Source organism: Homo sapiens, chromosome 20, assembly GCF_000001405.40.
Source record: "Homo sapiens chromosome 20, GRCh38.p14 Primary Assembly".
NCBI lineage: Eukaryota > Metazoa > Chordata > Mammalia > Primates > Hominidae > Homo > Homo sapiens.
Window position 1 is genome coordinate 14,889,004 of NC_000020.11, and position 20,015 is coordinate 14,909,018.

At 37.5% G+C, this 20,015-nt stretch overlaps 1 protein-coding gene and 1 long non-coding RNA gene across 6 annotated transcripts in view, besides 1 other annotated feature; one reads left to right on the forward strand and one right to left on the reverse strand.

The window, feature by feature from the left end:
• The window catches only part of MACROD2 (mono-ADP ribosylhydrolase 2), a 2,057,682-nt gene that overhangs the window by 893,488 nt on the left and 1,144,179 nt on the right, over positions 1-20,015 (forward strand). The window lies entirely within an intron of this gene.
• The window catches only part of MACROD2-AS1 (MACROD2 antisense RNA 1), a 45,266-nt gene that overhangs the window by 4,751 nt on the left and 20,500 nt on the right, over positions 1-20,015 (reverse strand). The window contains exon 2 of one of the 3 annotated variants that reach the window (NR_072988.2): positions 15,938-17,026. The exons of the other annotated variants lie outside the window; for them this stretch is intronic. This is a non-coding gene — a long non-coding RNA (MACROD2 antisense RNA 1). Of the gene's footprint in view, positions 1-15,937; positions 17,027-20,015 lie in introns of those variants that run through there. 3 annotated transcript variants of the gene reach the window in all.
• Positions 13,702-13,771: an enhancer, noted in NCBI's record as "active region_17554". NCBI's record gives its function as "activates an Ori minimal core promoter by ATAC-STARR-seq in GM12878 lymphoblastoid cells {active_cell/tissue: GM12878}" and the evidence as "EXISTENCE:reporter gene assay evidence [ECO:0000049][PMID:35858748]".

The following is a 20,015-nucleotide window of genomic DNA, read 5'->3' on the forward strand; positions in this document are numbered from 1 at the left end:
TGTGATCACTGCTGCATGTGTTTGCATGTGTAAACTGTGGTGGCTTTACATCATCTTATACTATGGATTTTTTTCCATATACAGCAGTATGAATAGAAACAATTTTTGCAGAATTTCATGAATTATAACTAAGGCTAAAAGCATGGATACTGTTTTCCATCTCATGCTGTTATGTTCCTTGCCTTATTTTGTTTATGTAATAAACATTTATTCAGTGTATACTACTGGCCAAAGGTTGTTGTAGGCACTGAGGATATATCGGTAAACAAAACAGGAGAAGATCTCTGCCCTCATGAAACTTATATTTTAGCAGGGAGGTAGGGGCAGGTGATGCATGCAATAAGCAATTATCATAAATATTTACATAATTAAAATTACATAGAATGCTTGAAACTAACTACAGCTGTAAATGGAGAAAAAAAGGAGAGCAAACTAAAGGGGAAGTGGTTAAATCTAGGATTCAATAAGAAATAGAGGGGTCAGGAAAGCCCTTATTGAGAAGAAGAGATTTTAGCAATGACTTAAAAGAGATAAAGGAATGAAACAAGCAGATATGCTGGGGAAAGATCCTATCCGGCATAGGAATCAGCTAAAGTGAGGACCGTAAGGAGGTAATCTTCAGCCAGGGAAGTCCCAGGAGATAATTGTGGATAAATCAAATGAGCAGAGGGAAGATAAATGCAGCTAGAAAAGGTAGCTGTTTAGGGTCAGAGAAAGGGCTATGGGCAGATTATGTAGGGCCTTGGAGGCAGCTGTAAGACATCTGGGTTTAATTCGAAGTGAATTGGGAAGCCAGTGCAGTTGTTTGAGAAAAGGAATGGTGTGATTCAATTTAAGTTTCTAAAAGATTAAGCTAGTGAATCTTTTAGCCAGAGTAATCTGTATGGGGAGGATGACATGGCATAGCAAGGAAAGAAACAGTAGCCTACTGCAATAATCTGGGAGACAGCTGGTTGCCTCAGTCAAGATGGCAGCTTGCAGTAGAAGTGATAAAAGGAGTACAGACTTTGTATATATTTTGAAGATAGAACCAACAGGGAGAATTTAAGAATGACTCCAAGGGTTTCTGTCTGAGCAACTGGAAGGATGTAATCGCTTCCAGCTGTTATGGAAATGGAAGCAGGTTTTGTTGGGGAGAATGAAGAATTTAAGTTTGAACGTGTCAAGTGGAAGATATATAAGTCAGGAGAGAGATCTGGGCAAGAGATACAACTTGAGAGTTGTTGGTAAGTAGGAGGTATTTCAAGTCATGAGGATAGATGCAAACTCCAAAGGAGTGAGTATAGATAGAAAAGAGGATGGAGGTCTGAGCCTTGGTCCATTCCCCCAGTAAGAGGTAAGGGATATGGACAGGAACCAGAGAAAGAGGCTAAGAAGATATGACCAGTGATGGAGGAAGAAAACCAAGAGAAGATGCTATCTTGGTGAAGAAAGTACTTTGATGAGGGGGAGAGCTTCATGGTGTCGAGGTCTGTTGAAAGGGGCTGGGTGCAGTGGCTCATGCCTGTAATTCCAGCAATTTGGAAGAACAAGATAGGAGAATCTCTTGAGGCCAGTAGTTTGTGACCAGCCTGGGCAACATAGTGAGACCCCCATCTCTATTTAAAAAATAGCCAGGCATGGTGGCACATTCCTGTCATCCCAATTACTCAGGAGGCTGAGATAGGAGGATTACGTGAGCCCAGAAGTTTGAGGTTGCCATGAGCTAGGGCCACTGCACTCCAGGCTACAAAATAAGGCCCTGTCCAAAAACAGAAAAAAAAAAATAATAAAAATTAAAAAAAAAAGAAAGAAGGAAAGAAATTCTGTTGAAAGGTAAAAAGCTGAGGACTGAGAATGACAACCAGATTTAGCAACATGGAGGTCATGGGTGGATTGCTGGCAGCAATTTGAATGTCATGATGGAAATCAAATCCTGACTGGACAAATAGGGATCTTCTTTCTCTTTTTCCTTCCTTCCTTCCTTCCTTCCTTCCTTCCTTCCTTCCTCCCTCCCTCCCTCCCTTCCTACCTTCCTTCCTTCCTACCTTCCTTTTCCTCCTTTCCTTCTTCTTCCTCTTCCCCTTCCTTTTCTCCTTCCTTCTTTCCTTTTTGTGCCATTGAACTAAAAACCCATACTTGGATATTGTTGACAGTATGATTTTAATGAATCCCTTTGGGAATTTTTTTAAACTCTTGGAAGATTTTCACTTATTTGATCTGTCCCTAACATTCCAAAACTGGCATGAATTTTAATTATCCTGAGATTTCACTTGGGAATAAAATGGCCAAGATAACAGATAAGCACTTTAGAAAATCATTAGCTTATTTTAGGCCATTACATTATATCTTCTTACACTGAATATGAGGAAAAAAGTATTAGTAACTTATTTTATCATGTCTTGGTAATTGAAAGTAAGTCACATATTCTTCTCAAAGTACATCCAGGGTTTACATTGTCTGTTATGTATGCATGGCTTCCCTAACAAGATAATAAATTCTTGGAAGATAACAACCAGACCTTCTATTTTTAATAATATCTTTTGTGCCCAGCCATGTCTTGTACATAGTCGGTATGCAATAAATATGTGTTGGTTTCATTTTCTATGCTCATTCTGTCTGATCCTGCCTTCTTATATACAAGCCTCATTCAGTAATGGGAGGATAGTAATAGAAAACAGAGGGAACAGTGCTAATACTGCTAGAACTTGTAGGCTTTGAAGACTTTACAATTTTGTTAGGAAGAGAATAGAGATGTATTTGAGAAATTCAGTAGCAAAAAAAGAACCATATATAGCAACAATAAAAGATGGGCTCATGATTAGTGACCAAATGAAATCTGTAGGTAATATATTTTTAAAGGGTCCTGTGCTGGTTGGAGAAACAGACACTGAGAAAATTATTCTTAAAATACTCTCCTGTCCTCCCCTCTCTCCTCATCAATAAGATGAATATATGTTTATAGAAAAATTAGTTAACATTATATTATGAAAAACTTTGACTATTCAATGATTTTAAACATAATTTCCAATGGATTTAGAGTATTCTATCATGTGACTGTATCATAATCTATTTACTCTCCTGGATTGAAGGTTTCGATAGTTGTCCTTTCTTTTTCATGACATACCAAACTAAGATGAACATCATTTATTGCCATGTCTTTTTGCATATTCAATAGTTATTTCTTTATATTAAATTTCTAAATGTGGGCTGGCATGGTGGCTCACGCCTATAATCCCAGCACTTTGGGAGGCCGAGGCAGATGGATCACTTGAGGTCAGGAGTTCGAGACCAGTCTGGCCAACATGGTGAAACCACATCTCTACTAAAAATTCAAAAAAAATTAGCCGGGCTTGGTGGTGCACGCCTGTAATCCCAGCTACTCAGGAGGCTGAGACACGAGAATCACTTAAACCCAGGAGGTGGAGGTGGCAGTGACATTGCACTCCAGCCTCGGCAATAGAGTGAGACTCCATCTCAAAAAAACAAAAAATCTAATGTAGAATTATAATATTAAAAGATTGACATACCTGGAGAATTGTTTTTAATTGTGGTGAAAACATACAATGTAACATTTAGCATCTTAACCATTTTAAATGGAAGTTTAGTGATATTAACTATATTCACGTTGTTATGCAATAGATCTCTAGAACTTTTTCATATGTGAAACTGAAACTCTGTCTCCATTGAACAACAACTTGCCATTTCCCTTCCCCTTAGCTCCTGGTAACCACAATTCTTTCTGGAGTGCAATGGCATAATCTCAGCTCACTGCAGCCTCTGCCTCCTGGGCTCAAGTAATTCTCCTGCCTCAGCCTCGTGAGTAGCTGGGACTACAGGTGTATGCCACCACTCCCCGCTAATTTTTGTATTTTTAGTAGAGACGGGATTAGAACATGTTGCCAAGGCTGGTCTGGAACTCTTAGGCTCAAGCAATCCTCCTGCCTTGGCTTCCCAAAGTGCTGGGATTAGAGTTTTGAGCCACCACGCCCAGCCCATGATTCTACTTTCTGTTTGTATGAGTTTGATTACTTTAGATACCATTTATGAGGGGAATTATACAATAGTTACCTTTTGTGACTGGCTTATTTCTCTTAGCATAATGTCTTCAAGGTTTAGCCATATTATAGAGTGTGATAGGAATTCTTCTTTTTTAAGGCTGAATAATATATCTCTTTGTATGTATATACCACATATTGTTTATCCATTTATCTTTTGATGAACATTTGGGTTACTTCCACCCCTTGGTTCTTGTGAATAATGCTGTAGTGAACATGGATGTGCAGATATCTCTTGGAGACCCTGCTATCAATTCTTTTCATTATACGCCCAGAAGTGGAATTGCTGGGTCATATGGTGATTCCATGTTTAATTTTTTTGAGGAAATTTAATACTGTTTTTGATAGTGGCTAACACTATTTTACATTCCCAATAACAATGTACATCTTCACTAACACTTGTTACTTTCCGTTTTTTGATAATAGCCATCCTAATGAATGTGATATGCATACACGGCTTTAAAAAAACTTGTTTCTTCAGAATATTTGCATATGGAGATTAGCATATATTATTTACCTTTAATATTATATATTTTGTCCTTGCTTATTTGATAGATAAAAAATAATTTGTATTTATTTGACTACTAGTAAAATTTAATATTTTTAATACTTGGTTACTAGCCAGTTTATATTTTTCTTTTGTGATTTGTAAGTTCATAATCTATACCTCATTTTGTATTGGGTTTTCTCCACCCTTCTTATTTATTTATAAGAGCTATTAATATAATACATTATCCTTTTATCTTTTATTTATTTATTTTTAAGACAGAGCCTCGCTCTGTTGCCCAGGCTGGAATGCAGTGGCACAAACACAGCTCTCTATAGCCTTGACCTCCTGGACTCAAGCAATCCTCTTGCCTCAGCCTCCCAAGTAGCTGGTACCACAGGCTTGTACCACCATTTCTGGCAAATTATTAAATTTTTATGTAGAGATAGGGACTCACCATCTCGCCCAGGCTGGTCTCAAACTCCTCAGCTCAAGCAATCCTCTTGCCTTGACTTCCTAAAGTGCTGAGGTTACAAGCATGAGCCACCATGTCTGGCTGTTATTTCATGTTTTTTTACAAACATTATTTTCATGTTTCAGATACATTTCAACTTTGTTTATTGCAATTTTTGCTTCTATAATACTGATAGAATCAAACTGAAACTTAAGACTATTTTATTTCTCATTTACCCCTACTTTTTTTTTGTTTGTTTTGTTTTTTGAGATGGAGTCTCACTCTGCCGCCCAGGCTGGAGTGCAGTGACGTGATCTCGGCTCACTGCAAGCTCTGCCTCCTGGGTTCACACCATTCTCCTGCCTCAGCCTCCCGAGTAGCTAGGACTACAGGTGCCCACCACCACGTCCGGCTAATGTTTTTATATTTTTAGTAGAGATGGGGTTTCACCATGTTAGCCAGGATGGTCTCGATCTCATGATCCACCCGCCTCAGCCTCCCAAAGTGCTGGGATTACAGGCATGAGCCACTGTGCCTGGCTTTTACCTCTACTTTTATATGAAGAAAATCCATGCTCATGTAATAGCCAAATACAGTCAAATTCATTTTTCTCTAGTGTTAATATTTCAGTCAAATTCTAATGCATTAGGAATTTGTTAATATTGCATTTAATATTATTTTTCCCCAATCTTTTTTTATTTGAAAAATATTATAATCCAGTCAAATAGCAAATAACATAACAAAATGAGAATTTCTTACCAAGGATTAATTCATATTAACATTTTATCATATTGATTTCAGATCTTGTGTGTGTGTGATGTTTACTGATAAATTTTGTGTCCTTGTACAGCTTTTGTGGATCAGGGACAAGGGGAGCATGTTGCCGAACAAAAATATATTAACATGTTTGGGACTAATGCACACTGATTTTCACAGAAAGTAACTGATTGATTGCAATCAAGTATGGGAGACTAGAGGGTGGCAAGAGTTTTGATAAAATTCAGTTCAATAAACTTGTGAATTTAAGAGCATAGAGATTCTATTAACGAGAATGAATAGAAGAAGATTTAGACATGGTGATTTAAAGGGGATATCAAGTTAGTGTTGAAGAGTAACCATCTCAGGAAAACAGTAGGAATTAGAGCCAGTTCTGAGAATATTCTGTGTGAGATCTATGGAAATAAAAAAGCTAGGAAGGGAAAAGCTTAAAGGAATGTGTGTTGGGAAGTGCTTATAGAAGAGAGCAAGCAAAGTGCCTTCCTGTTGTCGTTTAGACTTTTCCTTAATCTGCATTCCTGCAGTTAGGTTTACTGAGCTCTATGGCCTGAGTTATTGCTCTTCTATGTAGTTCCAGATTAAGGGTTAAGAATTCTAGTAGAGCAGGAGTATTTCTGGAAAAGATGGTTGGGGGGCAAGTATAGGGATGGGGAGAAGCGGAGGGCTTACTCTCCACCTCCCAAAATTTTCATGGAAATGACATTCAGTAAAAGTAAATATCCATATAACAATGGTGGTGGAAAGGAAAATGTAGGGGTAGATGGCTTTTGCGGATCAGGAACAAAGGGTATCATAATGCTAAATAAAAATATGTTAACATGTATTGGACTAAGGCACACTGATTTCCAGATGGTGTTTACATCTGAGGAAGAGGAAATGGGGAAAAGGTGGGGAGGTAGCCTCTTTATAAGAATCTTCAATGTTTTATTAATTAATATTTCTAAAAGATAACTCTTTTTGAAAAGAGAAAAGATAAAAATATTATCATCCATTAAATGTGGGTAGTGATTAACTTATTATCTCAGGTTAGGTTCCTTTCTAGTTGAGATTTTTATAATTAAATTTTTAGATAAGAGTCAGAAAATTTAGGATAATAACCTTGGATGACAAAGGAAGAAAGTTTTAGGATATTTTAAATATTAGTGAAATTCCAAATAAATTTAAGCTGAGAGCTCACTGGTTACCATATATGTTTCTCTTTAACACAAGAAATTGGAAATGCGTTAGGTCAATTCAACAAGTAACATTTGGAAATAGGCCGGGTGCTGTGGCTCACGCCTATAATCCCAGCACTTTGGGAGGCCGAGGCGGGCAGATCACGAGGCCAGGAGTTCGAGACCAGCCTGGCCAACATGGTGAAACCCCATTTCTACTAAAAATACAAAAATTAGCTGGGCGTGGTGGTGGGCGCCTGTAATACCAGCTACTCAGGAGGCTGAGGCAGGACAATTGCTTGAACTTTGGAGGCAGAGGTTGCAGTGAGCAGAGATTGCACCACTGCACTTCAGCCTGGGCGACAGAGCGCAACTCTATCTCAAAAAAATAAATAAATAAAATTAAAAAAAATTGGAAATAACATATTTGCTATTAATATCTTAAAGGAGGTATTTGTGTTGAATTCTTTGTCTTAGTCATTATCCTTGCTTTTAAAAAAAATGTTAGAATTCCTTTTTCTCAAAATTCTGAATGTGCTGTGTTTAACAGCGTAGTTACAGTTCTGAAAGGGTAGTAGATTTCTCCCCTTGTCTATTTGTTTGCAGCAGGTCATGAACTCAGACCTTTTCTCTTCAGTGCTTTGCTTCTGAACTACTTATTCTGATACCCTCCTCACCTGAGGAAACAGAGCCTAAGAAGGTTCTCCTTATATGGATTCAGGTAGATGAGTTTCCATAAAAAAAAAAAAATGACATCAAGCATTGATCTGCCTGAATAAAGCAATTCTACCAGTTATATGGCATTTGGTGCTTCCTGTGAATTGATACAAACTTCATTAAAGAAAATGACAGATGGCATATGGCTGCAGGCAAAATGCCAGTCCACATGATGAATCCTACCATACTCTAGTCCAGTATAAACAATGTTTTTAATCACCTTCAAAAAACTGTTGCATTAATTTGTCTACAGTAACCAGGTAATTATAAATGTGTAGCTAGTTCCTTATTATCTTAAAAAAATAAAAATAAAAGTTAGCAACTAATAGGCATTTAGCTTGAGTTTATATTATAGATGGCCAAAGGAGATTTTATGGCCCAAAATGGACATGGTGAGGTCTGCATGTGAACGATGTTACAGTAGACTAACCACAGAGCCTGGAGTTCCTGCACTTTTCTTGATTTGTTTGGAATATTACTTTGAGAATTGGAAGGCCTGGGGTACGAAAAATGATTATAAGATTTTTCTTTGTTTGACAAGATAAGCAGGTCTGTGTGAGGCAGATACTTTCTATGGACTGACTGCAGACAGGTTTCAGTCACAGACTCAGGTTTTATGGCATTCTCTTTGAAGGTGGGTGTCTAATGTAACTGAATTTTAGGGGGATAATTACAGTCTTATCAAATTCTGAGATGAACTTCATCACTTATTTAAAAAAAATTTCCTGTCAATTAGTTCTTATAATAATATACTTTTCTGGTCAATTTTACATGCAGAATTTGGTGAAATAAAGAAACATAAATAGATAAAAAATAAATATTTTAATGATGCCCAAATAAAATTTAGATGTGTAAGGACTAAAAATGATTTTTAAAATAGTTGTATAATAGAACTACATCTTAGTTTCAGCACATGGAATTTATATAGTTCATTTTAGTTAGTGCTTCATTTCAGGCTGCTTTTTTTCAAACAACAGAAATTGACTTTGGCTCATTTAAATGGAAGAATGTTTTAGAAAGTTATTCACTGATGGGGCAGAAAGGCAGAAGAACCAAGCATGAATCAGGTTCCATAAAGTTTCAAGCTGCTGTAACAGAATACCATAGACTAGGTGGCATATAAAAAACAAATTTATTTCCCACCATTCTGGAGGCTGGGAAGTCCAAGAACAAGGTGCTGACATATTTAGTGTCAGTGAGGGTGCTCTTCTTCATAGATGGCCGTCTTCTCATTGTACCCTCACATGCCCAAAGTGGCCAACACCTCTCTTAAGCTTCTTTTTAAAGGCACTAATCCCTTTCATGAGAAGTCTGCCCTCATGAACCAATCATCTCCCAGAGACCATACCTCTTAATAGCATCATCTTGGGAGGTAGGATTTCAACATATGAATTTTGAGGGGAAACAAACATTCAACTCATAGCAGATAACAAGGCAGTAAAACAATTAGCCAACACTTTATAAAAATCTTCAATGTTTTATTAATTAATATTTTTAAAAGATAACTCTTTTTGAAAAGAGAAAAGATAAAAATATTATCATCCATTAAATGTGGGTAGTGATTAACTTATTACCTCAGGTTAGGTTCCTTTCTAGTTGAGATTTTTATAATTAAACAAATTTCTAGATAAGAGTCAGAAAATTTAGGATAATAACCTTGGATGACAAAGGAAGAAAGTTTTAGGATATTTTAAATATTAGTGAAATTCCAAATAAATTTAAGCTTAGAGCTCACTGGTTACCATATATGTTTCTCTTTAACACAAGAAATTGGAAAAAATGAGTTAGGTCAATTCAACTAATAACATTTGGAAATAGGCCAGGTGCCGTGGCTCACGCGTATAATCCCAGCACTTTGGGAGGCCGAGGCGGGCAGATCACGAGGCCAGGAGTTCGAGACCAGCCTGGCCAACATGGTGAAACCCCGTCTCTACAAAAATTACAAAATTATGAAAATTAAAAAATTTCAAAAAAATACAAAAATTAGCTGGGCTATAGTCTGGGTAGGGCATTTGGTACTGGTCCCAACTCCACTGGGCACTCTTGCCTGTGCTGGAATTATCCTACTGCCACAGATAATGTCTCAACTGTCCTCACATCTTTGTACCATTCTCCAGAGATTCAACGTTCTAAGCAGAAACCTTTAGCTGGCTGAGTTTAGGTGATGTACCAGTTCTCTAACTGCCTAATCCATTGGCTTCTGAATGAGAGGTGAGGCCCTCCCTCCCAACAAATAGGAAGTAGTATCATTGTTGGACAACCAAAGGCAACGACCAGATGGGAACTAATAAAGCTGTATGACACTAAAAATTCTTCATTAAATCATGCCTTTTTTTCTAGTATTTTTCTCTTTGTTTTTGATAGCCAAAAACATATGTAGCAAATAATGCCATTGTCAACATGACTAACTCCAACACTTAGTTATAGTTGTTACTTTTCAGCCCATGGTGTTTTCTGCTGTGACAAAGGCAGAGTTGTTGTTCCTGAACTGCACATCTGCCTCCTTTTCTTGTACACACTTCTGATATTTTCAAGTTTAGGAGAAAGCAGGCATTTGCCTTACGTCTCAACTCATATTTTAAAATCAGTGTCACTTTCCTCTGCTTATTTTGCTATGCTTTTTTAGTGAATAAATATTTACCGAAGACTTCTGCATTAGTTTGCCCGGGTTGCCATAACAAAGCACCACACACTGAGTGGATTAAACATCAGAAATATAGCGTCTCACAGTTCTGAAGGGTAGAGGCCTGAGATCAAGGTGCTGGGTTTGCTTTTTTCTGTGGGCCGTAAGGAAGAATTTGTTCCATAGCTATCCCCTACCTTTTGGTGGGTTTCTGGCAACTTTGGCATTGCTTGGTTTGTAGAAGCATCACTCTGATCACTGCTTTCATCCTCACATGGGGGTCTCTTTGTATGTGCCTCTGTGTCCAAAATCTGCCTTTTTTAGAATGGCATCAGTCATATTGGACTAGGGTTTGCCCTAATGACCTCTGTTAACTTGATTACTTCTGTAAAGATCATATCTCCAAACAAGGTCACATTCTGAAGTACCGGTGTTGGAGTTTCAACATATCTTTTTTAGGGGGAACACGATTCAACCCATAGCAGCTTCTTAAAAGGCAACCTCTTTAATGTGAAGAATTTGAAATATTGACTCATTTCTGGAAGAAACAAAAACAATAACAACAACAAACCAAACTTTAAGAGTAAGGAATATCTAACTGGGCAGTGTTGGTTGTCAAATGAGTATTATACACATAACTAAATTTCAGGGCTCAAATTGACATGATTTCTTTGAGGAAACTTAAGGAATTACTAAATAACTTTTATCAGTTTGAAGAGGTTCTCTTCTATTCCTAAAAATATTCCTGGTTGAATATTTTCATTATGAAAGGCTGCTGTATTTTGTCAAATACTTTTTCTGCATCTATTGAGATGAGCATATGGTTTATATCTTTGATTCTTTTAATAATATATATTACATGATTACTTTTCATATGTTGAACCAACTTTGAATTTCTGGAATAGCTCCCACTTGGTCATGATTATAATTCTTTTTAAAAGCTGCTGGGTTTGGTTTACTAGGAAATTGGTGGAAGATCTTTTCACCTATATTCATAGGGGATATTAGCCTGTAATTTTCTTTTCTTCTGAAATTTTTGTCTAGTTTTAGTATCCGAATAATACTGGCTTCATAGAATGAGCTCGGAAGTGTTTCTTCGTACTCTTTATTAGAAGAATGTGAGGATTAGTTGCAATTCTTCAAAGTATTTAATAGTAGAATTCACCAGTAGAAACCATTTAGGTCTGGGCTTTTCTTTGCAGGAAATATTTTTATTACAAGTCAATCTCTTTGCTTGTTACAGTTTTATTTAGACTTTCTGTTTCTTCTTGAGTGAGTTCAGTAGTTTGCGTCTTTCTGAGATTTTTTTTAAATTTCTTCTTGCTTATCTAATTTATTGGTCTACAATTAGTTATAGTATTCTTGTAAAATCTTTTTTGTTTCTGCGAGGTCAGTAGTAATGTCCCCTCTTTAATTATGATTTTAGTAATTGAGCCCTTTTTTTTTCTTTGCCAGTCAGCTAAAGGTTTGTCAATTTTGTTGGTCCTTTCAAATAACCCATGTTTGGTTTCATTGGTTTTCTCTTTTGTTATTCTATTCTCTATTTCATTTGTTTCTGCTTAAGTTTTTATTATTTCTCTTATTTTGCTTGCTTTGCATTTATGTTGCTCTTTTTCTGGTTTCTTTCAGATTTTCTTTGTGGATGTGCTCTGAAATACTAGAAAATTGAAACCAATTCTATTTCCCTTCAGCAAAGCATTAATTATTGTGAAATACTAATGTAAAGTCAATGTAATAGCAACTATTTATTTAAATGAGTAGATATACTGCAAGAAAACATTTTACTGCATATATGAACATAACCAAAGGGCATCTTTAAAGACAGAAACTTTAAATGCCAAATGCATTTTTCATATTTTGAGTTTCATTTCAAGACATCTGATGGAAGATAGTATTATTCTATAATAAAATATTTTAACTTTTACTTATAGTAGATGCAGTAAACACTATTGCAGCTTTAAAAATACTTATTATAGTACTTAGCATTAGACAAATTGTTTGAAGTTTTAAAAAAATCTTTACAAATTAAAAGCTATAGAGTGCCTATAATCCTTTAATTCAAAACAGTTGTTTTCATTTTCCAATAAATTGGTAAAAGGGAACTTAATGACATTGTCTTTCCACTAAACATCCTAGCTGTTTTCAAGAAAACAGAATTAACAAGAAACTTAAAAAATAATATTGTAAAGCAGACAGTATTCTAAGTCATTACAGTTAATACAACAACAAAAATTCAGTGTGAAACTCTTGAAACGAACTTTAGGATATATTCGGTTAAATTATGGTCTACTATTTGTAATTTCATGAATTTTTTTCCAAGTATTGGAAATGATCTAAATGGCTGTGTTTGTGTCACAATAATGTTCAGGTTACAATATGCTGTATATTTAAAATTACCTTTGCATTTTAAAAATAACTATTTAAAACACTGCCAAAATCGGCATCATAATTATTTTGGAAGACTTAAAATAAATACACCAAAAACAAAACCAGAATTTGCATCTAATTGCCTGGAATAGTTTCTCTAGCCTCATTTGCCAGACAGAGGAATGAGTATCTTGAAAATCTAAGGTTCTTTAGGGCTATAGGATTGTATGCCTATCAGCTTGGATTGCTTTTTGCTTTATTTGACTGTGGCCAAAGGTGGAAAAGGCCTTCTTAGATATTCTTACTAGGAAATGTAATCTTGAAGTCTATGTCAAAGCTTTCACACAAAATTGGTATAAAATTTATACAGTGGAACTTACTCTAAGCAGTCAATAATAGCTATATTTCTGAAAAGATGATTTTAAAGCCAACTGCAATAAATGGAATAACTAACATTTACATGTGCTAAATCTTCTAATTTATTGGAAATATTGAAGGGCCATTAAATTTAAAAATGCTTTTGTAAATGCAAAACATTAACCTCTAATTTAATCCTTGTAGGAATACAATTTTTTTTAAATCAAATTTTCCTGAAGCAGCCATAGCTGAATTAGTTGTTTTACTTTTCAAAATTCGCGGTGAAGGGTTACATTTAAAGCAGAGAGGAGCCCCCTTTTTCCTCTTCATTTATTCTAAGTAGTACCTGAAAGCAAAAGTTGGCAGGCCGCAGGCAGAGAATAGGTCAGCCACATTGTTCCTTGCCTTGCTGATGCAAAAGAGAGAACATTTCAAAGTAAAACAAGGATTGGCATCAGAGAAATTGAGTTCTGTGCTCTTTTAAAATAATCTTCCTGAGGCATTCTTTCAGAAAACTAGCATTTACCCTCCCCATACCACACGAGTGAAAAAGTGACCTTTTTCAGAGAGCTCAAAGTCAAATTAGTTCTGTAAGTCAGTCTAGGGGGAAGTGAGAGCCAATTTGTGGTCAGGGTTGCCAAAGAGCCAATGTCCAAGAAAAGAAGAGAGGCAGGGTGGTCAGGACGTGCTGAGAAAGACTGAAAAAAATAGGGACCTTGCAGCTGTTGAGGCCATAGTAGTGACTCTAGGGAACATGTAGTCTAAAAAGCCTATCTAAAAGCAAAGTTCAGCCTTGAGAGCAAGAGCTGGGAAGGACTCAAGGAATGCCATGAACTCCACATGAGGGAAACAGATCACAATACATAAATGTAAGTTCAAAGGCAGAAGAAGAGAAAGAGTTATGAGAGGTAAATGGAGAGGGTACCATGTAGGAAGTCACAGAGAAGCAGTAATACAAGGAAAGATTATAGGTCACTTTTTTGCTCTTCTGTCAGCAAAACCCATGTAGTAAAAGAAGTACGTCAGGGAGAGGACATCTAAAGGTTTCTTTTTTTTCTTTCCCTTTTTTTTTTTTTTTTTTTGAGACATAGTTTCGCTCTTGTTGCCCAGGCTGGAGTGCAATGGTGTGATCTCGGCTCACTGCAACCTGTGTCTCCCGGATTCAAGCGATTCGCCTGCCTCAGCCTCCCGAGTAGCTGGGATTACAGGTGCCTGCCACCATGCCCAGCTAAATTTGTATTCTTAGTAGAGACGGGGTTTCACCATATTGGCCAAGCTGGTCTCAAACTTCTGATCACAGATGATCCATCCGCCTCGGCCTCCCAAAGTGCTGGGATTATAGGCGTGAGCCACTGCACCCGGCCCAGGTTTCTTACATGACTTATTTGAAGAAGACAGGAACAGACAACAGATGATCATATCAAAGACCAAAAACAACCTAACATGACAGTTAACCTTGGCTGCAGAATTCTTATTAATTCCTAATGAGAGTAGACTGATGATAACACAATTATGCCTGAAATTAATTTGAATACATAATTTAATGTATTTATAGTTTATCAGCACTATAATTTTGTTAGTTTTAAATTTTTATTTAAAAATTATTTAGATATATCAGGAGTAAAAATTGCTGAACCTGGGAGCACTTAGAATTTTGACAGGTTGCAGTATTCATTAGGATACTGTTAGATGCTGTGACAAATAATCCCCACATTTCAGCAGCTTAATACAGTAAAGGCTTCTTAACAGACTAGCGTAGGTAACTGTTCCCGGCCAGTAAGAGTGGGCAGATCTGCTGCATGTGGTCATTTAGGAATACAGGCTGATGGAGGCTTTCCCACTATCAGTGTATGACTTCTGTTATTATTCTGGGCACTGATGTTCATCTCACTGAAGGGGTTAAAGAATGAAGAAGCGTGCATGAAAGGTTTTTTTATTTTTCTTCACATTCTCTCGCTGAGAATGTAACCACAGGGCTACAGTAAACTGCAGGGCAGACTAGAAAGTATAGTCCAACTGAGTGCCCAGAAAGAAGGGAAATAGAGATTTTAGTGAACACTAAGAAGTTTCTGCCTGGTACACATAATCACTGGACTCATGGGAGGGACTGTGATACCATGTCTACATCTACCAAAGACTTTAAACATACTGGGATCTTAGTAGGCTCCTGAATGGGTTACAAAGTTGGTTCTTGGATATAGTTAGTATGAATTTGTAGAACTAGCAACAGTGGAATGCTGTTGGATAGTCAAATTTTCCTAAGGCATAGATTTATTCTAAATTTTACTTGTATTCTAATCTCTGGGGTTTATGTGACTCATTCACATAAAAATAGAAAAATCAGTGTATATCTGATAATTGGCAGTATTCACTGATTTTATCCATATAAAATATCTTTTATGATAGAACTAAAGATGTGACATGTCTTTGACAAATCACTGTGCCTAATTAGAATATTATGTTTCAAATATAACTTAAAAATATATAGGTGGGTACATATATGCATTATGCATATATGTACATTAGTGTGTATACATGTCTGTGTACCAATGTATATAACTAAAAAAATTTCTGTGCAGGAGTTGAACTACAACAGTGGAGATAAACTCATAATTTGTTTGCTATATCATGGACTTTGGAATCATCTGTTTTCAGATTTTAGTAATGCTATTTAATACCGCATAACCCTTAAGCAAATTACTCAACCTCATTAAGCCTCAGTTATTTCATGTATACAATATGAATAACAATAGCTGTTTATCAAACTGGATTATTATAAGTAATAAAATGAGATTATGTATGTAACACACTTCTTACAGAATCTGGCACATAGTAAATGCTCAATGGCATATATTATGCATATTATATGTATAGTAGGAAGCTTGACGTGGCCTCCAGGGCCCCTGTAACACACAAACCGATGGTGCAGATAGACATGAAAATAGATAGGAAATAGCTGGCTGCTGAGATTTAATAGCTTCATTTATTCGTTCCTTTGTTCCTAGCAGTAAATACTGCTCGGCCCTTAATATGTACAAGCTCTGAGTGATGGTGGGCACAAAAATTACTAAAGCAGCTTTATTGTTGTTAAAGAGTTTGCCACCTGATTATGAGAACTCTAGCAGTCATGATACAAGGTGACATTTACACAAGAGAAATACCACAGAGTGATATATGGCTTGGAAATAAGGAAAAATATTTCTTGGAAGGGAGAGATTTGAAGAAAATGTTTTGGACATTTAGAATTCTGAGTCTTAAACTGGCTCTTAAATCCAGAATTTCAAGAAATGGATAGAGGAAAGAGAGACATTCAATTCAGAAAGAATAGCATGAGCTGGGAATCAGGGAAAAGCACAGAATATTTTTAGGCAAACTGAAAAATAAGCAAAGGGATTACTATGAAGTCAAACTGCAAAGTCAAGCCATTGATGTCATACTAAAGAGTTGGACTTCATTCTGTAAACAAGGAGAAGGAAAGGCAAGGTGAGAAATAAGAGTGAGGAAGGCAAGTTCTGAGCAGCAGAATGACATCTATGCCCTTGAACATTTTACTTGGCCTTTTTCTCCATTCATTTTCCTCCCCTACACAGCAAATGGATGGAACTAAGATCCCTTCCTGCCCTCACAGTCTGGGAGACCACTACATCCTCCAGAGTCACTGTCATTCTCCGTCTGCTGGAACATCCCGATTCTCATTGGTGTAACCTCTCCAATGCTATTTACCTAGGCTCTACCCAGTACTGTTGTCATATCCTTTAGACTCTACATTTTTCTTCTCTGTGGGCCTGCTTTTCATCCTCTGCAATAGGAACATGAGCTGTATCTCATTCATTCATAGAGAGGTGTCTTCCAAGCCCAGATCTCCAGCTCCTGAACCACTCCATCAGCTATGGTGAGATTCTTTCCTGGACCTCTTCCAGCCTTCACCTCAATTAGCTGGGCATGGGCAGCTAATTCATTCTTGCACTTTCTCCATATTATTGCTTCTCTCCTAGGTTTTTTATTGTGGTTTTGTTTTTGTTTTTTGTTCTTTGACTTGGTACTTCCACTGTTCTGGAAGAATGCAAGCAGAAATATCAAAGAGGAACAAATAAGAAAGAATTACTGGGGAAAAGTGATGCCTTTATAAGAGTAAAACGTTATTCTTCACTATAAAGTATAATAAGAGGGAAATTTTCTTCTTTTACTTGTTAGAATTATAAAGATAGTTATATATGTACTTTTTTCAAAAATCAAGCTGTGCGTGTTAGCTCATGCCTATAATCCTAGCACTTTGGGAGGCCAAGGAGGGTGTGTCACTTGAGGTCAGGGGTTCAAGACCAGCCTGGCCAATATGGCAAAACCCCGTCTCTACTAAAAATACAAAAATTAGCTGGGCGTAGTGGCGCATGCCTGTAATCCCAGCTACTGGGGAGGCTGAGGCAGGAGAATCGCTTGAACCCGGGAGGCAGAGGTTGCAATGAGCTGAGATCGTGCCACTGCACTCCAGCCTGGGCAACAGAGTGAGACTCAGTCACCAAAAGAAAAGAAAAGAAAAAAAAATCAGCACTAGCAATGACCTGGTTTTTACGTAGCACTTCCTAATAGCTTGCTTCTCTTTTTGTGAATAGGATTTAGCACAGATATCAGCCAGTATACTAAGACAATTAAATTTTTTTTCAGAGTAAATAAATATCGAATATACCAAAATATCATTCAGTAATGCGATTCTGAAACTAACGTCACAAATTAGGTTCAATAAAAGAACAGGATCTTTTTGTCTCCAAGTATAACATGTTATTTCTTTCGTAAGTCTTCTCAGGACTTAAAACTGCTTCTTTGAAGTATTCTTTAAAGCTTTCAGCCTCTCTTGTCTTGTCATGGCTACAGTATTTGTTAATTAATTTAACAAACATTTTTGGGGTGCTGAGGTAAAGAAATAGATTAACATCCAGACTTTACCATTGAAAAGTCCACAGAAGAAGGCTAACATGTAAATACAGAATTGTATGGAATGCAGTAGTGAAGTAGGAGGTGAGACTCAGCTCTGGAGGTGGAACTTGGACACTGGACCAAATTGCGGACTAGCTAAAACAGGACCAGAGTGGAAGAGTTTTCCATAAGACACACCTACCAGTGTGCCATGTCAGCTTACCATTGCTATGGCAACACCTGGAAGTTACCACTCTTTTGCATGGCAATAACCTGACAACCCAGAAGTTACCACCCTTTTCCTAGAAATTTCTGCATAATCTGCCCCTTAATTTGCATACAATTGAAAGTAGGTATGAATGAGTGCAGGACTGCCTCTGGGCTGCTACTCAGAGCACACTGACTATGGGATGGCCCTGCTCTGCAAGGAGCAGTGCCTCTGCTGCTGCTGTACATTGCTGCTTCAATAAAAGTTGCAGTCTAACATCACCAGCTTGCCCTTGAATTCTTTCCTGGATGAAGCCAAGAACGCTCCTGAACTAAGCCCCAATTTGGGGGCTTGCCTGCACTGTGTCAGTAAGTGATAGAATAGAGCTCAGTATGTGGTCCAGGAGGGAGTGATCAGTCTGTCTGTGATGTCCCGGGGGGAATCAATGAGAAGGCAATTCACAAAATTCACAAAAGAGGCTTTGAAAAGTAAATTAGAATTTGCTGGGTCAAAAATGGAGAAAGTATGGCCCAGGCATAAGGAATAGAAAGCGCAAAGACAAAGAAGGAAGTTAGGATATTGTGCAGAATTAAGTATGGCTTGTAAATGGGTGTGAAGTGATGGGTAGTGAGAGAAGAAATGGGAGAATTGGCGGGGACTAGATGATAAAGGGCTTTTCATGTCCAACGAAAGAGTTTAGATATTGACTATTGATTCCCATTTGTTTATTGTTCATCTGTTTTTGGTTTTGCCTTGTATTCATTATTTTGGGGACACTTCCCCTTTTAGGCATTTGTTGAAAGAAAGCTCAAGACCTTCTCCCAAGAGAAAGATGCACACATAATTACTTTTGCATACAAACACATCCATGAACTTGGAACCCAAGTTTCAAACCACTGCAAAAAGTCACTATGAGTCATTGACAATTATTGAGCAGGGAAACCACATATTCAAAAGTGTATTGTCAGCCAGGCACGGTGGCTCACGCCTGTAATCCCAGCACTTTGGGAGGCCGAGACAGGCGGATCACCCGATGTCAGGAATTCGAGACCAGTCTGGCCAACACGGTGAAATCTTTTCTCTACTAACAATACAAAAATTAGCTGGGCGTGGTGGGTGCCTCCAATCCCAGCTACTCAGGAGGTTGAGGCAGGAGAATCACTTGATCCCAGGAGGCAGCGGTTGCAGTGAGCTGAGATCGTGCCACTGCACTCCAGCCTGGGTGACCGAGCAAGACTCTATCTCAAAAAAAATAAATAAATAAAAAGTGTATTGTCGGCCACGCATGGTGGCTCATGCTTATAATCCCAGCACTTTGGGAGGCCGAGGTGGGCAGATCACCTGAGGCCAGGAGTTTGAGACCAGCCTGGCCAACGTGACAATTCCCTGTCTCTATTAAAAATACAAAAATTAGCCGGACTTGTTGTCAAACACCTGTAGTCCCAGCTACTCGGGAGGCTGAGGCATGAGAATTGCTGAATCACTTGAACCTGGGAGGCGGAGGTTGCAGTGAGCTGAGACCATGCCACTGCACTCTAGCCTGGGTGACAGAGCAGACTCTGTCTGCCAGAAAAAAAAAAAAGTGTATCTTCAGAGTGAACCCCTGGAGGAATGTGGAGAATCTATTAGAAGGCATGGGACTCATGTTAGGGAAAATAGGAATTTATTGCAATATTTCAGCCAAGAAATGAAGGTCTACGATAAGGTGGCAGCAAATACTTGTTTTTAATTTGGCTCCTGCTTTGTGTTGTCTATCTGCTTATTGAGGAGACAGTACTACAAGAGTTAAATGTGTAAATGGTGTTATTACTGAAGTAGTGATTTCAGATATAAGTGCAGCTTCATGAGGAAGGATGAAGCATTCAGAAGGCATGATGGGTTTGAAGTGTCTATGGGTTAGACCACTGCAGGTATGGATTAGCA